Source organism: Homo sapiens, chromosome 12 (genome assembly GCF_000001405.40).
Source record: "Homo sapiens chromosome 12, GRCh38.p14 Primary Assembly".
Lineage (NCBI taxonomy): Eukaryota > Metazoa > Chordata > Mammalia > Primates > Hominidae > Homo > Homo sapiens.
The window spans coordinates 124,336,647-124,355,121 of NC_000012.12; the positions used below are offsets into that span (position 1 = coordinate 124,336,647).

General features: G+C 57.5%; 1 protein-coding gene and 1 non-coding gene across 4 annotated transcripts in view, besides 3 other annotated features; both read right to left on the reverse strand.

Moving 5' to 3' along the window:
* NCOR2 (nuclear receptor corepressor 2) overlaps window positions 1-18,475 on the reverse strand; it is a 243,198-nt gene that overhangs the window by 12,232 nt on the left and 212,491 nt on the right. For all 3 annotated transcript variants that reach the window (NM_001077261.4, NM_001206654.2, NM_006312.6), the window contains 14 exons: window positions 18,191-18,293; window positions 17,832-17,936; window positions 17,447-17,550; window positions 13,941-14,091; window positions 11,528-11,668; window positions 11,179-11,265; window positions 9,918-10,204; window positions 7,951-8,305; window positions 6,359-6,580; window positions 5,177-5,428; window positions 3,956-4,105; window positions 3,648-3,797; window positions 3,360-3,558; window positions 107-534 (listed from right to left, as the gene is read on the reverse strand). In NM_001077261.4, the coding sequence (NP_001070729.2) occupies window positions 107-534; window positions 3,360-3,558; window positions 3,648-3,797; window positions 3,956-4,105; window positions 5,177-5,428; window positions 6,359-6,580; window positions 7,951-8,305; window positions 9,918-10,204; window positions 11,179-11,265; window positions 11,528-11,668; window positions 13,941-14,091; window positions 17,447-17,550; window positions 17,832-17,936; window positions 18,191-18,293 (2,734 nt within the window). The remainder of the gene's footprint in view (window positions 1-106; window positions 535-3,359; window positions 3,559-3,647; window positions 3,798-3,955; window positions 4,106-5,176; window positions 5,429-6,358; window positions 6,581-7,950; window positions 8,306-9,917; window positions 10,205-11,178; window positions 11,266-11,527; window positions 11,669-13,940; window positions 14,092-17,446; window positions 17,551-17,831; window positions 17,937-18,190; window positions 18,294-18,475) is intronic.
* On the reverse strand, window positions 535-596 carry MIR6880 (microRNA 6880). The gene has a single exon (NR_106940.1). It is a non-coding gene; the product is annotated as a microRNA 6880 (primary transcript).
* Window positions 7,466-7,966: an enhancer, noted in NCBI's record as "H3K4me1 hESC enhancer chr12:124828658-124829158 (GRCh37/hg19 assembly coordinates)". NCBI's record gives its function as "activates a minimal SCP1, AML or CMV promoter by ChIP-STARR-seq in primed H9 embryonic stem cells {active_cell/tissue: H9 hESC(primed)}" and the evidence as "EXISTENCE:reporter gene assay evidence [ECO:0000049][PMID:30033119]".
* Window positions 7,967-8,467: an enhancer, noted in NCBI's record as "H3K4me1 hESC enhancer chr12:124829159-124829659 (GRCh37/hg19 assembly coordinates)". NCBI's record gives its function as "activates a minimal SCP1, AML or CMV promoter by ChIP-STARR-seq in primed H9 embryonic stem cells {active_cell/tissue: H9 hESC(primed)}" and the evidence as "EXISTENCE:reporter gene assay evidence [ECO:0000049][PMID:30033119]".
* Window positions 11,377-11,671: a silencer, noted in NCBI's record as "tiled region #3491; HepG2 Repressive DNase matched - State 12:CtcfO, and K562 Repressive non-DNase unmatched - State 17:Gen3'". NCBI's record gives its function as "represses a minimal TATA promoter and a strong SV40 promoter by Sharpr-MPRA in HepG2 and K562 cells {active_cell/tissue: HepG2 | K562}" and the evidence as "EXISTENCE:reporter gene assay evidence [ECO:0000049][PMID:27701403]".

The following is an 18,475-nucleotide window of genomic DNA, read 5'->3' on the forward strand; positions in this document are numbered from 1 at the left end:
GGGGAGCCGTTGGCCAGCGCACCTCCTTCTCGCGCCCCTTTATCGTGAGCAATTTGACGCATGATAATCGCGTCTATGAAGGTGGCCGCTGTCAGGGTGGTCTTACCCAGAGAACGGAGTTCCAGTTCCTGGATGGAAAAGGGTTTACTTTGAGTCTTTTCCCGGTGCGGGTCCGAGGCCGAGGCAGGTGGCGCCGGCGGGTCCGGGCTGGCGTGGTGAGGTGCGAGGTTCTTCGCAGGGGTGCGGGCGATGGTGGCGTGGCCAGAGACAGGAGGCACTAGGGGCCGGGGCTCCGAGCCCTTGCTGGGGGAGGAGGCGGGCTCCAGCCCGGAGCGGGCTGGGGGCTTGGCGAGGAAGGCATGGCCGGTGTCTGCTCGGGGCCGCTCTGGCCGGGCGACCCGGGGGGCCTCCTTGGGCAGCAAGACGGGCTCCATGAGGGTAGGGTAGACCCCATCGAGGGTGCCGCCCAGTGGGCAGTGGGTGGCAGGTGGGAATGTGGCAGCCGGGCGAACGGGTGAGGAGGTGGAGGTGGACCTGGGGGAGGAGAGAAGGCGGTCAGGCAGTCATGGGAGCTGCCCTCTTCCTCCACCACCCTCGATGAGTCCCCATTGCCCTGGGATAAATCCACATCCCCTGCTGCTCCCAGAGTGAAACTGCCCTCCTGACTGTAACCTGCCAGACTCTGTGCGTCATGGTTTGACCCATCCCACTCATTCGTTCATTCATTCCTTGCATCATTCCAAAACTTCTGATTAAGCAGCTACTAGGTGCCAGGCACTGTTCTAGACACTGTGAATACAGCGGTCATAAAACGGATGCAAGCATCTTACCATCTAATTCAGAAAACAGACTACGATCACATTAACAGATATCCCAAGCTCTACAGAGCCTGGTAACTGTGTGGAGGTAGTCAATGAGGTACCAGGAGAGAACGGCAAGGAAGCTGAGGCAGGGCTAGGAGGTCTTCAGGGAGGGGGCACATGAGGGAGCTGGGCCTGCTCAGGATACCCGAAGAGCTAAAAAAGCCACGTGAGGAGTGAGAGAGCAAGGGGAAGGATGCCAGGGGGCGGCCAGGGTGGGCGTTGAGAACAGAGAAAGCTGCTGTTCCCAGCTCTGTGAGTGAGAAGCTGGGGCACAGCTGCCCCTGCACAGGGCTGGGGCTGGAACAGGAGCCGGCTGCTCCACCCACGTGGCCTTCCCGGAGCCCTGCGTTTCCATGGGGGCACCCCCATCTCTCGCTAACTCTACCTCCCAGAGCCTCATTCATGAGCGGGCAGTGGGCAGGCACTCGTTTTCTCCATTATATTTTTGAATCGGCTGTCACGGGCATATCCCACAGAGCCTGTGTGCGGAACCCTGCTCCCCACAGCCAGGGATTAGTGCTTCATGCACCTGCTGGGTCTGAGTCAGGGGTGACAAAGTCGCCACTGCTTTTGGGAAACGATGCCATTTTTCATAATTGAAATAATGATTAGGGGAGGTATGACTTCAGGCATCCAAGCGGCAAGTTGGGGCACAAGTACTTTTTTGAATGAAAATTCATTTTGGAGGAGTAAGTTGCCTCTAAATAGGTCCTGGAGGCTGAGTGCGGTGGCGCACGCCTGTAATCCCGGCACTTTGGGAGGCTGAGGCAGGCAGATCACTTGAGGTCAGAAGTTTGAGACCAGCCTGGCCAACGTGGTGAAACCGCATTTCTACTAAAAATATAAAAATTAGCCGGGTGTGGTTGCACGTGCCTGTAACTGCAGCTACTTGGGAGGCTGAGGCAGGAGAATCACTTGAACCCAGGAGGTGGAGGTTGCAGTAAGCAGAGATCGTACCACTGCACTCCAGCCTGGGCGACAGAGTACAACTCCATCAAAAAAAAAAAAAAAAAAAGGTTCCGGGCAGGGAAGGGTGTTGAGGTGTGACCCCACCCCCCTGGTGAAGCAGCTCTGCCCACAGTCTCTGGAGTGTGTGTCACCAGAGGGCACTCAGGGGCCTCTCCCATCTCAGAGAAACTTGGGACTTTGTCCAGGCAAGAGGGACACCTCTTTTCCTTGCTGGCCTTGCTAAATGTGGGGGACCGGGAAAGTCTTTCCTCACAGTCCCCATTCAGTCTCTCCCTCTCCACAGATTCTATTCTCAAACCAAACAACCTCCCCATCTACTCATCCCACCGCCCAACTCATCGTCCATCCACTGGGGCCTCCATCCACTCATCCCCACAATTACTCATCCAACCATCCATTCCATCATCCACCTAACCCTACCACCCACCCATCCACCCACCCACCCAGCTAACCCAGCCATCTATACTCTCACCCACCCACCTACCTCCCTAACCCTACCACCCACCCATCCACCCACCCAGCTAAGCCAGCGTCTATACTCTCACCCACCCACCTACCTACCTAACTCAGCCACCCACCCATCCATCCATCCACATGGCTAATCTGGCCATCTATCCTTCCTCCCACCTACCTACCTACTTAACCCAACCACCCACCCACCCATCCATCCATCCACCCAGTTAACCCAGCCATCTATCCTCTTACCCACCCATCTACCTACCTAACCCGATCTACCTACCACCCACCCACCCACCCACCCAGCTAAGCCAGTCATCTATCCTCTCACCCACCCACCTACCTACCTAACCCAACCACCTGCCCATCCATCCATCCATCCATCCATCCATCCATCCATCTGGCTAACTCAGTCATTTATCCTCTTAGCCACCTACCTACCTACCTACCTACCTACCTACCTACCTACCACCCACCCACCCACACAGCTAACTTGGCCATCTATCCTTTTGCCCATCTACTTACCTACCTAACGTGACCACCCACCCATCCATCCACCCAGCTAACCCAGCTATCTATCCTCTCACCCACCCACCTACCTACCTAACCCTATCACCCACCCATCCATCCATCCACCCACCCAGCTAACCTAACCATCTATCCTCCCACTGACCCACCTACCCACCTAACCCAACCACCTATCTGGCTAACCCGGCCATCTATCCTTCCACCCACCCACCTACCTACCAAACCTGATCATCCACCCATCCAACCAGCTAACCCAGCCATCTATCTTTCCACTGACCCACCCACCCACCTAACCCGACCACCCCCCCATCCATCCATCCATCCACCCACGCAGCTAACCTAACTTCCCACTGACCCACACACCCACCTAACCCGACCACCCACCCATCCACTACTCACACATAGTCTATTCTTCTACCCCCACACATCTGCCCACCCACCCACCTCCCATATACCTCCCACCAAGCATCCTCTTATCTGCTCATCCTCCTACTGACCACCCATCCACCTGCCCGCCCCCTCCCCCATGCCAACCTGGCCCACCTCAGGACCGTGGGCGTGCTGGGCTCCACAGCGGTGATGATACCCTTCATGCCTGTGTTGTGAAGCACACTGGGTCTCTGCTGGAGGGCATCCTGGGTCCGAGGGGAGATGGGCGAGTGCTGGTGGGCATGGGAGTGGGAGGCGGGGCGGCTGCTGCTGCCCCCACCCCCGCCGCTGCTGCCGCTGCTCTGCTCTGTACCTGGTGACAGTCAGTGGCATCAGCAGGGGGAGGCCTCTTGCGGCCCACAAGGAGTCCCGGAGCGGGGGGTGGGGGCTCTGATGCCCTACCAGGTCTCCAGATGGGTGCGTGCTCCACCGTCGTGGTGGACGTGAGGATGGACTTTTCCCGCTCCCGATCCCGGTCCCGCTCTCGATCCCGGTCTCGCTCCCGCTCGGACGAGGACGTGGTGGTTGGTTTTGTCAAGTGTGTTGGACCTCCTAGGAAACCCAAAGGCCAGAGACTCAGCCCCAGGGCCGAAGAAGAGCCTGGCTTTGTCTTCTGGGGTGGGAAAGAGAGCAGGGCTTCTGCCCGCCCATCCCCCAGCCGCCTCCCATGGATGCCGGGGTCCCCACCCCAGACTGGGCAGTGGCGCTACCTGGGGAGAGTGGGGAGCTGCTGTGGCGGCTGCTGAAGGGCTGGGGCGCGGTGGGGAGGTAGGCAAGGCGGTCCATGGCGGTGGCTGGGGTGCCTGGTGTCGGGGGCACGAGCACAGGCAGGTGTGGCACTTGGGACAGGTCGATGATGCCTGCGGGAGGTGTTGGGCCAGGGCTGTAGCCACAGGGAGGAGAGAGGCCAGGCTGCCCACCGGCCAGATCACCCTCCTGGAGAGCACGGCACACACTCCTGGAGCCAGCAGAGCTGGTGGCAGGCACTCCCTCCTCGGCTCCCAGCACCAGCCATGGAACCCTTTTCTGAATGCTCAGGTTCTCTCGGTACCACCTCCTCTTCTGCTCCCAAGCCCGAGCCGGGGCATCTCCTGCAGCTGCCCTCACTGGTTCCCATCTCAGGCCCTCTGTGCCCCTTCAGCCTCTGACGCCTACACAATCCATTCCCTGTATTCAATCCTCACTGTTCAAAATACTTAAGTGTGACTTCAGCTTTTCCAGCTGAGCCCCAGCTAGAACTTGGTTATTCCAGAAGCATTTCTGAGGATGGCCCTGGAACGTGTGCACGCAAAGCAGCTGTGGGCTGTTTACAAGGCAAAGGAACAAACTCCAAACAGCCTCACATTTTCATCTTTTTTTTTTTTTCGAGACACAGTCTTGCCCTGTTGCCCAGGCTGGAGTGCAATGGTAAAATCTCCACTCACTGTAACCTCCACCTCCTGGGTTCAAGTGATTCTCTTGCCTCAGCCTAGTGAGTAGCTGGGACTACAGGTGCGCATCACCATGCCTGGCTAATTTTTGTATTTTTAGGAGAGACGGGTTTCACCATGTTGGTCAGACTGGTCTCGAACTTCTGACCTTGTTATCCACCTGCCTCGCCCTCCCCAAGTGCTGGGATTACAGGCATGAGCCACTGTGCCCGGCCACATTTTGATCTTTAAACTCCTGAGGCCCCTGTATCCTAAGAGTATACACAGATGCACGCACACCCACTGAGGATGCAGCCAGGAGCCACACGCTGTGCACTCACCTACCAGATGCCAACCAGCACCCACAGCACGCACAACCCCAGGCCACCCACTCAGGTCCGTTCACACAAGGTGACCCACAAGGTGACCAGGTCTAGCTGCCTCCGCGAGGCCACAGGGGCACGCCCATGTCCTTTGGGAATAAGGCCAAACCCAGCGGAGGTGGTCTGCCCACCCACTCACCTCGGGGACCCGCAGCGTAGTTGAGTGCCAGCGAGGACTCGCGGGGCGAGAGGCCCCTCAGCATATCAGCTCGCTGGGCCATGGCGGTGGCCGCGTTGTGGTGCATCTGCTGCGAGGTGATGTAGTCATTGATGATGGTCTGCCGGTTCTCCAGCGCCGCCGTGTCGGGGTAGCCGCGGATGAGGTAGGGTGGGTACAGGTGCGGGTAGGTGGGGTTGGGGGCCAGGTGTCGGGGCAGGTAGTAGGCAGCGGCTGCGGGGCAGAGGGGAGCTCATGTGAGGCCAGCCATACCTAGGCCTGATGGTGTCGCTCCACCTGTCTGGATGCCCCCTACTTCTGCACCCGGACAGCTTCTCCCACCTACATGTGTGGCTGCCCAAAGCACAAACCAGAACTGAGCGTCGGACAGCAGGAAAACATCACGCCAGGACACAAGAGGGTGACTTCTACGAAGGATGCTTTTTGCATCAAAGTTGTCCCAAACATAGGACATCCCAATGCAGATTAACACTCCAAAGGGATGCAACTTTTTTTATTTCTTTTTTTTTAATTTCTTTTATTTTTAGAGAAGGAGTCTCGCTCTGTCGCCCAGGCTGGAGTGCAGTGGCGCGATCTTGGCTCACTGCAAGCTCCGCCTCCCGGGTTCACGCCATTCTCCTGCCTCAGCCTCCCGAGTAGCTGGGACTACAGGCGCCCGCCACCACACCCGGCTAGTTTTTGTATTTTTAGTAGGGACGGGGTTTCACCGTGTTAGCCAGGATGGTCTCTATCTCCTGACCTTGTGATCCGCCTGCCTCGGCCTCCCAAAGTGCTGGGATTACAGGTGTGAGCCACCGTGCCCGGCAACTTTTAAAAAAGACTTTCAGATCATGTCTATTTGAAAAATGCATATACTCAAGTCCTCATTCTATACCTTTGCATTGCTAAAGGCACTGATAAGTCCTGCCGGAAAAGAAAACCACTGAAATGTTTAACCCCACATGTCCTGCAAACTACTAAGAGAAATTCTGCTCCAACCTAAGCTCATGATTACACTGTTGGGTCTTCCAATCCCGAGGCCTCAGTTTCGCCATCCAGGGGAACCTGACAGTTGATGCCTAAGGAGTCCCTGAGCGAACACTGATGAGGTCCGTGGCCCTGTTCAGCACCACTGCAGGGTTCTGGGAGCCCCAGGGCAATCACCTGCGTCCAGAGGGATGCCGCGGGGTATGGAGGTGGGGTCGAAGGCCAGGGGGATGTGGCTGCGATACAGGTCCACGCCACTCACGCCCCGAAGCAGGTGCTCATAGGGCGAGATGGGGTGTGGGTGGTGCTCGGGCACGGTGCTGTGCGGGGACTTGGCGATCTCACGAGGCGTCGACGTCAGCTTTCGGTCCTGGGATGCCTTGCTGGACGAAAGGCTGCCTGTGGACGGGCAAGGTGGATGCATCGGGCCTCTGGGGCTGGCATTTACGGGGAGTTGTTTGAGGATAGGGACCTCGGGATCCCAAGGACCAGGTCTCTTCATTCACTCCTTCATTTCTTCATTGCCTTAGTTCACTTTTTGCTCACTGACTCATTTGCTTTTGTGTTATAGTTTTTAAAAAATTCATTCTTTCATCCATTCACTCACTCAATCAATTAAAAAATATTGATGCAGCCTCTACTACGTGGCAAGCATTGTTGTGAGAACTGGGGTCACCCCAGTGAACGAAACAGAAATCCCAGCCCTCACAAGCTGACATTCAATGCGAGAGACAGGTGATAAACTAGCAAACAAATGAGAATTACAGAGTGAAACACGCTCAGAAGAAAATTTTCTTTCATTTTTTTTTTTTTTTGAGATAAGAGTTTCACTCTTGTTGCCCAGGCTGGAGTGCAATGGCACGATCTCCGTTCACTGTAACCTCTGCCTCCCAGGCTCAAGTGATTCTCCTGCCTCAGCCTCCCGAGTAGCTGGGAATACAGGTGCGTACCACCACACCCGGTTATTTTTTTGTATTTTTAGTAGAGACAGGGTTTCACCATGTTGACCAGGCTGGTCTTGAACTCCTGACCTCAGGTGATCTGCCTGCCTTGACCTCCCAAACTGCTGGGATTACAGGTGTGAGCCACCATGCCTGGCCGGAAGACAATTTTAAAATGTCACAGCATGTGATATGAACTGGAGATAGGGGGTCTGGTTAGAAGCCTCCCCAAGGATGTAATATGTAAACAAAGACCTGAGGGATGGAAAGAAACCCACTAAGTAAAGATCTGGAAGGCGGGGACATGGCAGGCAGAGAGGAGGAGCCACGCAAAGGCCCCCAGCAAATACTGAATTGACCGAGCTAAGCATGGCCAGGGAACAAAGAGAAAGAGGGCCCAGGGGCTGGGGCTGGGGAGGACGAAGGAATCCGGCTGAATGAGAGGCAGGCAGGGCCCCAACAGGCAGGCGCCCCAAGGCCATAGCAAAATGTGTGAAGTTGCTAGAAGGATGGAAGCAGGGAAGTGGAATAATATGATTTGCATTTTTAGAAAGTATCCGGGTAGCTGTTTGCAGAGTGGATTACAGCAGGAAGAGGGAGGGGCGTGGGGGAAGCTAGGTGAGACACCACGGTGGTCTGGGAGGTGGCAAGGAGTTGGACAGGGTTTGGAATCGGAGGCAGAGCCCACGGGCCTGCAGGTGGTTTGGATGTGGTGGAAAGCGGGTGGCGAGGATATCCCAGGTGCAAACTAAGCTAATGGTGGATGGGGAGGCACAGCTTCTCCAGACAGGCGCCCACCCCACTCACGCCCATGCACACCCCACTCACCCTCCTGCAGGCGCGGCGTGGGCTCCCGCGTGGTCACGGGCGAACCTCGTGGGAGGTGGCCGGCAAAGGGTGCCCCGTGGTCCTCATAGGTCAGGGGGCTCTGCCGCGGCTTACCCAGCTCAGGCACAATGACCGGGGCGCCGCGCGCAATGGAGCCCCCCGAGCTGCTGGCGGTCCCTGGCCGGCTCTTCAGGCTCTCCTCGTAGCAGGCACGTTCCAGTGCCCGGGCGTCGGCCATCACATCCAGCGGGTGCACGGGTGGGAACGTCCGGCCGGGGCTGCCGATGAGGGAGCGTACGTCGTGCTTTTTGGAGCCAGTGGTGGACGCGCCGGTGTCGTACTTGAGCGGGGTGCCCTGGGGCAGAGGGGATGTAAGCTCTAGCCCTGGCCACAGCCATAGCCCAGACCAGCTGCATCCCCCTTCTGAGCCTCAAAAAGTTTGTCATCTATAAGATGGAAGTGACATCTGATGCCTCCAGAGGCAGGGAGACAGAGGGCTTTGCTAACCCTGAGATGGCACACTTGTTACTTACTGCCCTGCGCACCCTGGGCCTGACCCTGGTCCCCACGCTCCCTGGGGGGACTGCAGAAAGGGGTAAAAAGTTCAACAGTCAACTCTCCCTGCCGCGAGTGGTGGGCTCTCTGATGGTCCCTGGAGTTTGCGAGAAAGAAGCCCAACACCCTCATGTGGGTAAAAAACATTCCTCTGTTCAGCCTGGGACCCTCCATGGCCCACCCAATGCCAAGCAGAAAAAGTCAGCACCCAGACCCAATACTACCCGCCCTGAGGCTTTCAGCCCCAGGGACACTGAGGTCAGGGCTGAGGTGTTTGCCCTCCAGACAGAAAGGATGGTGAGGAAATGGGGGGGTCACAGTCCAGACTGGGACCTTCGTAGCCAGGCCACCAGGTCCCCTGCCTCTTTTCAGCAGGCTTCGGAGACACTTGATATGGTGGGACTTTAGGGCTTTGCAAGCAACAAAACTCTATTTAGGGATGTCTTCATTACTGTCGTAAGAAGGGGAACTGCCCTTGTTTTTCAAAAGAATATTCTAGAATCTGGACCCTGTCTTGGTCATGCGGTGGATGCTTCCAAGGACTCCATAATTGCCTAGGGGCTGAGAGCCAAACCCTTCCCCTGGCAATCAGGGATCTTACTGCTTCTGCCTTCTCCCTGGCTTCAAAACCTTCCTACAAGCTGGAACCCCTCCCGGGACACCCACCCCAGTCCTTCCGCCTCACAGCCCCACAGCCCCGTGGTGGCTCCCATTCTCCTTCCCCTTCACAAGAGGCCACCTCTGCCCATGTGGAAGGACAGTGGCCTTCAGGGGCTTTCCACCGAACAGCTCCTCGTCCTCGTACCATCGGCACGGAACTTCCCCTACTGAGCTGGGGCCGCCTGGGGGGACTGGGGCCTCTTGTGGTGCAACCTGCTGGTGGGTGCAGTGGATGCTGCGGCTGTAGGAACATCTGAATTTGGGTTTCACAACTGCATTTGCTGCGTGACTCTGGGTGAGTCGTTGAACCTCTCTGAACCTCAATTTACTCAGCAATAAAATAAGGTCATTAAGAAAACGACCTCAGAGCATTGCTAGGGGGTGAAACAATGAACGCATGCAACATCCTCAGGCCGCACCTGGACCCTCACAAAGATTCAACGGAGGCAGTTACTCGTCACTATGTTTAGTCCTGTGGCCTTGGAAGCCTGCCTGGCCTCTCTGGGACTCAGTTTCCCTCCCTGAAGAATGGGAACAATGTGAGTTCAGTAGAATCAGGTCAGGAGCCTGGTGCCCCCTGCGCAGCCCTGGAACACGCACAGCTGAGGCCCGGTGATGAGCAGCTGGGTGACTGTAAGGTACGCGAGGGCTCTCAGCCTCGGTTTCCCCATGTGGAGAGGCCCAGGGCAGTGCCCCACAGCCACCGCCACCCCTCCTAGAACTGGGCCCGTGTGCCTGGCCCTGGGCCATACCTGCGTGATGGAGCCCTCCTTGAGCGGCCGCGGGGCCAGGGGCAGCTCGGGCGTGTGCCGCAGCTCCTCGCGCGGGATCTCATGGATGGAGCGGCCCGCCTCCTTCACCGTGGCCACCAGGCCCTCATGGGCCGGCTTCAGCTTCAGGGGGCCCAGGGCCTGCGTCTTGTAGGCCTCGGTCAGGTCCCGTGAGGGCGGTGGGGGCGGAGGCGTGCCCTCCCGCTTTAGGAGCTTGGCCTCCCGACGCAGGTAGTCCTCCTGTGCCTCCACGTAGGACCGAGGGATCCCTGCCGGGCCGACAGCACTGACCCTCACGCCCCGCCCCACCCAGACCCATCAAGAGCCTCCACACCAGTGGGTTCTGGAGCTAGTCTGCCTGAGTTCAAATCCCCACTTGCTGTGTGACCTTGACCAGGAAATCTGACCTCTCTGGGCCTCAGCTTCTTCACACATAAAACAAGAATATTAACTGAACCACCTCAGCAAGTCGGGAACACTATGAAATCATGAAGCTAAAACCACAGGCTGGGTGCAGTAGCTCACGCCTGTAATCCCAACACTCTGGGGGGCTGCGGCAGGCAGACAGCTTGAGCTCAGGAGTTCGAGACCAGCCTGGGCAACATGGTGAAACCCCACCTCTACAAAAATACAAAAATTAGCTAGATGTGGTGGTGTGCATCTGTGGTCCCAGCTACTTGGGAGGCTGAAGTGGGAGGATTGTTTAAGCCTGAAAGGCGGAGGCTGCAGTGAGCTGAGATCGTGCCACTGCACTCCAGCCTGGGCAACAGAATGAGACCCTGTCTCAAACAGCAACAACAACAACAAAATAAAAAAATAAAAAATAAAACCCACAAAGCTGCCAAGTTCACAGTAGCTGGCTGTGCCATGGACCAGCCGCGAGAACCTGAAAGAGTTCTCGGAGCTCTCCAAGCCTCTCCCAATCGCATGTGCCTCACCAGGATGTTCTGTAAAACGATACGCAGGTGGCACCTGGGTTAGTGCCAAGCACAGGACAGTTGCTATGTGACACCTAAAAGCACAGGGGTGATCGGTGGTATTTTGCTTTTTGTTTTTGTTTTGAAATAAGTAAGAGACACCCTTGCTCCGTAGCTCACGTACTGATCATGTACATGTGTGCTGCAGGCCTTTCTGCATACTTGTCCTGAGTTCCCACCACACTCTGGCTGTGTCTCTCCCTCCCGCGCCCTGCGTGACTGTACACCCGTTGGGGGCAACGAGGGAGCAGGGAACAGGGCAGTACCTTGTGTGATGGACCCGCGGATGTGGTGCTGCTCTTTGAGGTGGTGGGGGCTGTGTCGCTCCGGCGGGATGGCACGGCCCATGAGACCTGGGTAGGAGAGGGTGAGGCCATCATTCCGTGGCTCCCTGAGCCGACACTGGGCAGTGACAGGGGTCAGTGTTTACAGCCGCCAGTGGTCATCCCCACGATGATGGTGGAGTAGGACCCAGCACGGGAAGGTCCCTGCGCTACCTCCAGATGGAGCCTCAGAAAGCCCAGCCTCGGTTTCCCCATCTGTAAAACGGGGTCAGCCATCCCCCCACCGCCCACCAGGGGGCACCGAGAGATGAAGTCTCCTCCCTGCTATCACCTTCGATGCTGGCTGAGGAGATGGCTCTGCCCACGCGGCCCTCCATCATGTCATAGGTGCGCTTGGGGGCGGCCGTCTCATGGGGGGGTCCTGAGCTGCTTCTGCCGTCCTCCTTGGAGCACTGGGTCACAGACATGCCACCTGGAAACCACACAAAGCACTCGGTGAGGAGCTGGGCACGGGCCCAGGACCACGGTGGGCAGGCAGGACAGGCAGAGCCGGTAGGCAGGAGCCAGCAGTGCTTCCATGCTGGCCCCGTCACAAAGCCTCACAGCCGAGGCCTCCAGAGGGAGCTGGCAGCCTGCAGGCCCTGGGGGCCTGCCAGCAGGACCCAGGAGCTTTTCCAGGGGGTTGCACGGTGGGAGATGCAGGGCACGCTGCCTGCACCCTGTACCCTAGCCCTCCAGGGTGCTCTGTCTGCAAGCAAGGGTGTGCCTGTGACCACATGAGCACGTGAGTCTGTGTCCACACCCACGGGTGCCGACATGGGGCGTGAACAAGTGCACACACATGCACGTGAGCAAGGACGCATCAGCAGTGTGTGGATGTGTGGCAGGCAGGAGCACACGTGCACCGATACATCAGCAGCAGAGTGTGGATGTGTGGCAGGCAGCAGCACGCGTGCACCGATACAGCAGAGTGGAGGTGCGGGCAGGCAGGAGCACGCGTGTGCACCGATACATCAGCAGTGTGTGGACGTGTGGCAGGCAGGAGCACGCATGTGCACTGGCACGGGTCTTGTGTGTGCAGGAGTGGATGTGGGCACATGCACGTGAGCCTGGCTGCTGAGAACTAAGTGGGTCCATGTACACACATGTACCAGGGTGCAGGCAGTACACGGCTTTGTATGTATACACGTGTCACACCCAGAAACCTGTGCCGATGTGCATGTGAGTGTCCGACCACAAGTCTGCGTGTGCACGGAGAGGTGTGTGTTGCAGGCAGTGGTGAGGGGTGGCAGGGGTGGCCTCGCCAGGCCAAAGGAGCCTACATGGGCCCGGCTCACTGCTCCCCGGACAGGCAGAGAGGTGAACAGACGGAGGTGGCCCCCGAAGGTAAAGGCTGGGCTTTGCCCATCTAGCCAGGGCTCTCCTTCCAGGGCAGCCGAGTCCAGAGCTATCAGAAATGAGCCCCGGGAGCCCCCGCCCCACCCCTCAGAGGGAATGAGCAACTGACAGGCTCTCGGGCTTTTCAACCATTGCTTCGTGTGGCCCACGGCCCGTGAGCTACTCCAGGGGTTGCCAACAGGAGGGTACTAGGTTGCTGTTCAGAAAACGTTCCAAATTAATCGCCGATGTTTAAACATCGGGAGATTTCAGATAAAAACGGAGATGAGAAACCTGGCTGACCGGTGGCCGCAGGGGAGTGGACGGCGTGAGCAGGCACCACAGTCCTCCCCATTCCCTACAGTCCTCCCCACTCCCTACAGTCTCACACCTGCCGCTGCCTGCACTGCCTACCTGGCCCAGGGAGCAGACGAGAGTTTAAAGGCCCCGACTGAAACCCATGATGAAGACGATACGCTGAAGGCCTATAAAGGCTCAGGCACTGGTCTGGGGTCCCAAGGTGGGACTCTACCCAGTGACCTCTCAAGACAAGCTCTTGACTAACCCCACCACCAGCCCTTCCCAGGCTTCCCGCCACCCCCAGGGCACTCGGTCCAGGGGCACCAGGGCATGAGCTGGCACCCAAGACACAGCTGCAGGCCTGTCTCCAAGGCTATCTCTGTGGCAGCAGGGAGTGCATTATGTTCCTAAGCCACACGGTGCCACCTCCACCTCCCAGGCCTGGGGAGGGGGCTGCGGGCACAGGCGGAAGTGGATGGAGGAGAGGCAATTCCGGGCCTCGCAGCTGCAGTGCTGAGAGAGGCGCCCATTAGCAGCTTTCATCTCCACACCCCTGGGTGCCCTAGGCTGCCAGGAAATTCTCTTTCCCGGCACTCGATTCCCTTAACTCCTTCCTGGCAGGGTCTCCTCGTTCTGGAACCCAGAGCCTAGAGAGGGAGAGGATGGGGGCTCCGCAGCAAGAGCCTGGGACACAGTGGGGCGAGGGGCACTCTGGCCATGGCCTCTTTCATGGCCAATGAGAGAGTGCGTGGTTTGTCAGTACGGTGCTGGAGGCCTGGCGGCGTGAGCTCGGGCTTCTGTTCCGGGCCTCAGTTTCCCTCCTATGCTTCTAAAAAGGTTGGCCATGAGTTTGTTTTCTAAACTGTAAAGAACTGGGCAGAGGTGGGAGGCAGCTAAGGCCAACGCTTCCCTGCTGCTGGCTTGCATACCTGCAGGGATAAGGAGGTCACCACCTATCAGATTGTGCTTTCTGATGTCAATCCAGCCCTGCCTCCCTGTGAAGCTACCTCAGTGGGCCAAGCACACTCCTCCCCTGGTCCTGGGCCTCCTCTCCTCCTGCGACTCACCCTCATAGGACAAGACGTGGCCCTTCTTGCCTTCGTAGATGACGTGGCCCTTGGGCAGGCTGTCCTCCCGGCCGCGGTCCAAGCGACTCGGGCTGTCCTCGCCGATGATCCTGGTGATGGTGCCCTTGTACAGGACGTCAGCTGGCGTGCCCTGCAGGTGCAGAGGGGTGAGCGCCCAGGAGGCTGCAGCCCAGGACCCCTCTCAACTCAAATGCAGGCAAAGACGTGCTTAAAAGCCCATGTGCCCACCGATGCACACGCGTGTCCACACACACACTGTCTCAAATAGGTAAGAGTTTGCATGGAACAAAACCCTATGAGGAACCTGAAGAATGAAGATCCCTTGTCAAGTGCTTCCCATGAGTGGACGCTGTTCTGGGTGCTCTCTATGGATTTGCTCATTTAATCCTCGAAACAACCCTAAGACAACCCTATTGATTATGCCTGTTTCAGATGGGGAAACCGAGGCACAGGGAGGCACAGTGACTTTACCCGGGGTCACCTGGCTAATAAGGGGCAGGCGGGGACTTGAACCCAGGCATTCTGGTCCTGGAGTCTGTGTCCCCACCACTGCGTGGGGTCTACTCAGAGCCTTGACATTCAGTTACCGAAAACGGTAACTGGCGGGGACGCTGGGGTTTCTGCTCCTGTGCTGTACCCGTGACCACGTCATGCACTTTGGTTTCCTAAAACCAGGACAAGGACTCACGTCAGGGCAGCACACCGGAAATTTTAGTTCTAACCCAGGTTTTCCACCTCGGCCCTCCTGACAGCTGGAGCTGGACCCTTCTTTGCTGTGGGGCTGTCCTGTGCACTGTGGGCTGTTAACAGCATCCCTGGCTTCAAAGCACTAGAAGCCAGGAGTACACGCCTCCCCAGTGTGTCCCCCACCAAGTTAGGACAATCGAAAATGTCCCTAGAGAGTTGGAGGCACAATTTCCCCCAATTGAGAACCACTGCCATATAGGGAATGAGCTTCCCGTTGGAGGATGTGTTCAAGCAGAGAGGAGATGGCCACGTGGGGCAGCATCCTGCCTTGGGTGACTTTCAAGAACACAAGCATCAGAGTTAGAATATGACTTTGGAAGCAGAATGTTGGGTGTCAAACAGCAACTTTACTACCAAGCTGCCGTGGGACCTCCTTTCTGAGCCTCAGTTTGCACATCCACAAATGGAGACCTTCTGCATTGATGATTCTCAAAGGCATCTGGCACAGACGACGGGTCCCCAAATCTCAATATCCCTCTTCTCTTTCTAGGGTTCCAGGAGCAGATTCAACGGTAAAGGTCCTACTATATCCCAAGACCTGGACCAGTGAGCTCTGAGTCTCTGGCTGGACTTGCTTGGCTGGGGACATCCCCTGGCAGAGGGCAGCACCTGGTACCCCGGGGAGTTCACCGCAGATCCTGGTCTTTGCGGAGGGCAACAGCAAGACGCCCTGAATTCTGATGAGCTCCCCCCAAACTTCCCAAAGCAAATACTCTGAGCAGCATCTCCCTGCTGTGCTTTAAGACACCTGTACACTAACAGTGTGGCACAATAGGTGCTGAGTCAGGTGACAGCTCGGGGCAGCCACCTCTCCCATCAGGAAAGCACAGGATTCCTGCAGCATCCTGGCGGGAAAAGCCCCCCAAGAGGCAGCTAACACAAGTGCACCCCTTTCTGTATCCAGCCCTAACATCAGATGGTCCATGTCAGAACTGGGTTTGTACTGCAGAAATCAGTGGCTTACTGAACACCACAATAAATGATTTAAAAAGGGGGGCTCTCCATGGTGAAACTGAGGCATCTGATTTTTTTTTTTTGAGAAGGGGTCTTGCTGTATTGCCCAGGCTGGAGTGCAGAACACTGTCATAGTTCACTGCAGCCTCAAACTCCTGGGCTCAAGTGATCTTCCTGCCTCCCAGTCCCAAGTAGCTGAGACTACAGGTATGTGCCACCATGCCCAGCCAATTTTTAAATTTTCTGTAGAGACAGGCCTCTTTTTGTCCAGGCTGGTCTCAAACTCCTGGGCTCAAGCTATCCTCCCACCTTGGCCTCCCAAAATGCTGGGTTGACAGGCAAGAGCCACCGTGTCCAGCTTGATGTTTTTGAGCTATAGTATTTTAGAGGTGCCATCTTCAGGGACATGGACAGAGAACAGAAATCCAGCCGGTGGCCCCTGCTCTTGGGAGAATACACTGGACAAACTCCCATTAACAGGGAAGCTTCTGTTTGCATAACGTCTGCTTCCAGGAGATGAGCCTGTAGCCTCTTGCTCTTGGCCCCAATGAACTCTACTCCCAAGATGGGCAGGAAGTCCCTGGAGGATCAGGGAGCTGGGACTTCCTTGACCTCCCTTGCCAGCTGGGAACCACGTGGTCCCTGCCTATGGCACCTACTCAGTTAATAAACGGCTCTGTGCGTGCAGGCCACACGCTGACTTCCTCACTATCTGGTAGTGAGACTGCACGGAAGTTTGACCCTTGCCTATCTCACATGTTTTGGCAGCTGGCTGTCTGCCAAAAGCAATCAAAGAGATGTGTGTAACTGGGAGGTTCGAGGAAGGGCGCGGGTCATGGCCACTCAGGAACCCAGAGCAGGTGGATGCCTGGGAACTTCAAAGGTCCCTACGACTTCAGGAGAATGACTCTCCCAGGAATACTGTTAGCAAAGGGGAAACGGAGTCAGGGCAGGCCGCTGCCTGTCTGAGTAGGTGGTGGAGCTGGCACCCGAGGGCCCTCAGCCTGACTTTTGTCCAAAGCACTTGCCCTTCCCACTCAGCACAGCTGCCTTTGAAAGCTCAGATTTTTAAAACCTGCAGATTTCAGAGAAGGGCAAAGTGTAAATGGCTCCTCTGTGGTGGGATTTGACGCTGCCTGAGTGAAAAACACCTCCCTGTGGACCATCTTGTTGCCCGAAGCTCCACTGTTAGAACATGCATGCACGTGTGCAAGTGTGTGGACCCACGCTCTGTCACTGTGTTCTAGAGCCAGACACACGTGGCACAAAACCTTGGGTCCACAGCTCACCAGCTGCAAGGCTGGGGCACCAGTCCTGGCACGATTCAGGAACCCTCTCATGCTCTGTCTTTGCACATGCTGTTCCCTGAGCCTAGAATGCTGTTCCCTGAGATTCCCGCATGGCTTGCACCCTCAATTTCTTCTGGCCACAGCTGACATGTCACCTTCCTCACCTGTCTAAGCAATGTCCGTGGCCAGGCATTCTCAGCCGCGGTACGCTCACATTCTGCCTGCCTGCTCGGTTTTCACCAGCCTACTTATTTACCCTGGTCTGTTTCCTTCCACTACATGGCAGCTCCCTGAAGGCAGAGTTTTGAGCTGTGCTTGGCAATCCCAGTGCCTGATTCCATGCAGACTAGATGAAAGTTCATGGAGTGAACTGCTGTCCCCCAGTCATCACCCCATCGGCTGAGGCTAATGGTTTGGTGACAATGAGGGGTTATAAGATGGGCTGGCCCCGTGCTGGTCCCAACCGTCCTTCCTGCCGCACCCCAGGACACCTACGTGGGTGATGGAGCCGCGGTATGTGATGGCGCTGTCCGAGGGCACCCGTGTGCTGGGAATGCCTTTGGTGATGCTTCCGCCCGGAACTGAGCCCAGAGCTGTCCCTGGAAGACACAAGATGTGGGGCTGAGGGCGTGTCTGTGGCCCTTCCTTCCCCAGGCCCCAGTCCTGAGAGCCACCCTGACTGAGAGACCCACAAGTTGTGCTAGTTGTTTCAACGCAGAGGGAGTCCCCCTACCCCTAAATGGTGAGGGAGACAGCTGTGAAGAGGGGCCCCCAGACCCTCTGGGAGATGACACTTCCCAGCAGGTTTTGAATAAAGGGCCCTTTGGGCACCCGAGGAACAGGGGCAGATGCTGGGGGCCCAGGGCAGAAGGGCCCTCACCTCTCAGCACGGACGCCTCCTGGGCTGTGGGCACCCCCAGGCTCTCCGGTGGCCCAGCCTGGCCCCGTGGGGACAGCTGCTCCTGCTTCACTCCGCTGAAGGGTGCTGAGGACCAGTAAGAGGAGCGAGTCACGTGCTGCCGGAGCAGGGTCCCGGGAGGCTTGTCCCCACCCAACCTGAGCCAGGGGCTGGGAAGCGCTGCCCCTCCCCACCATGTTCCAGCCAGGGCTGCTGAGGGGGGACCTCCCAGCTGCTACCTGGAGTACCGTGGGCCAAGATACCCCTTCCTCCCCCGCCCCACCCACAGGACAGCCAGAGCCCAGCCTGAGCCACCCAGACGGATGGGCCAGGAGCCTTACCCAGCTTTTTGGGGTCCATGGGCAGGGGCAGCCCCATGGTGACAGGGCCCACCGGGGCCTTGGCATGCTCTGAGTACGGGACGTGGAGCTGGACCGACATTCCCTGTAGGGGCGGAGTTGTGGGGTCACAGGGGCACCCTGGTCCCTCCCCCACAGTCCAGAGTGCCTGACGCTCCTGTTCAAAAAGCCCACGTGTGGGTCAGAGGCTGGGGCTGCTGTCCAGCTGTGTGACGGCAGACAAGTCACTGCTACTCCCAAGCCTCGGCCCCCTCCCCTGTGAAGGGG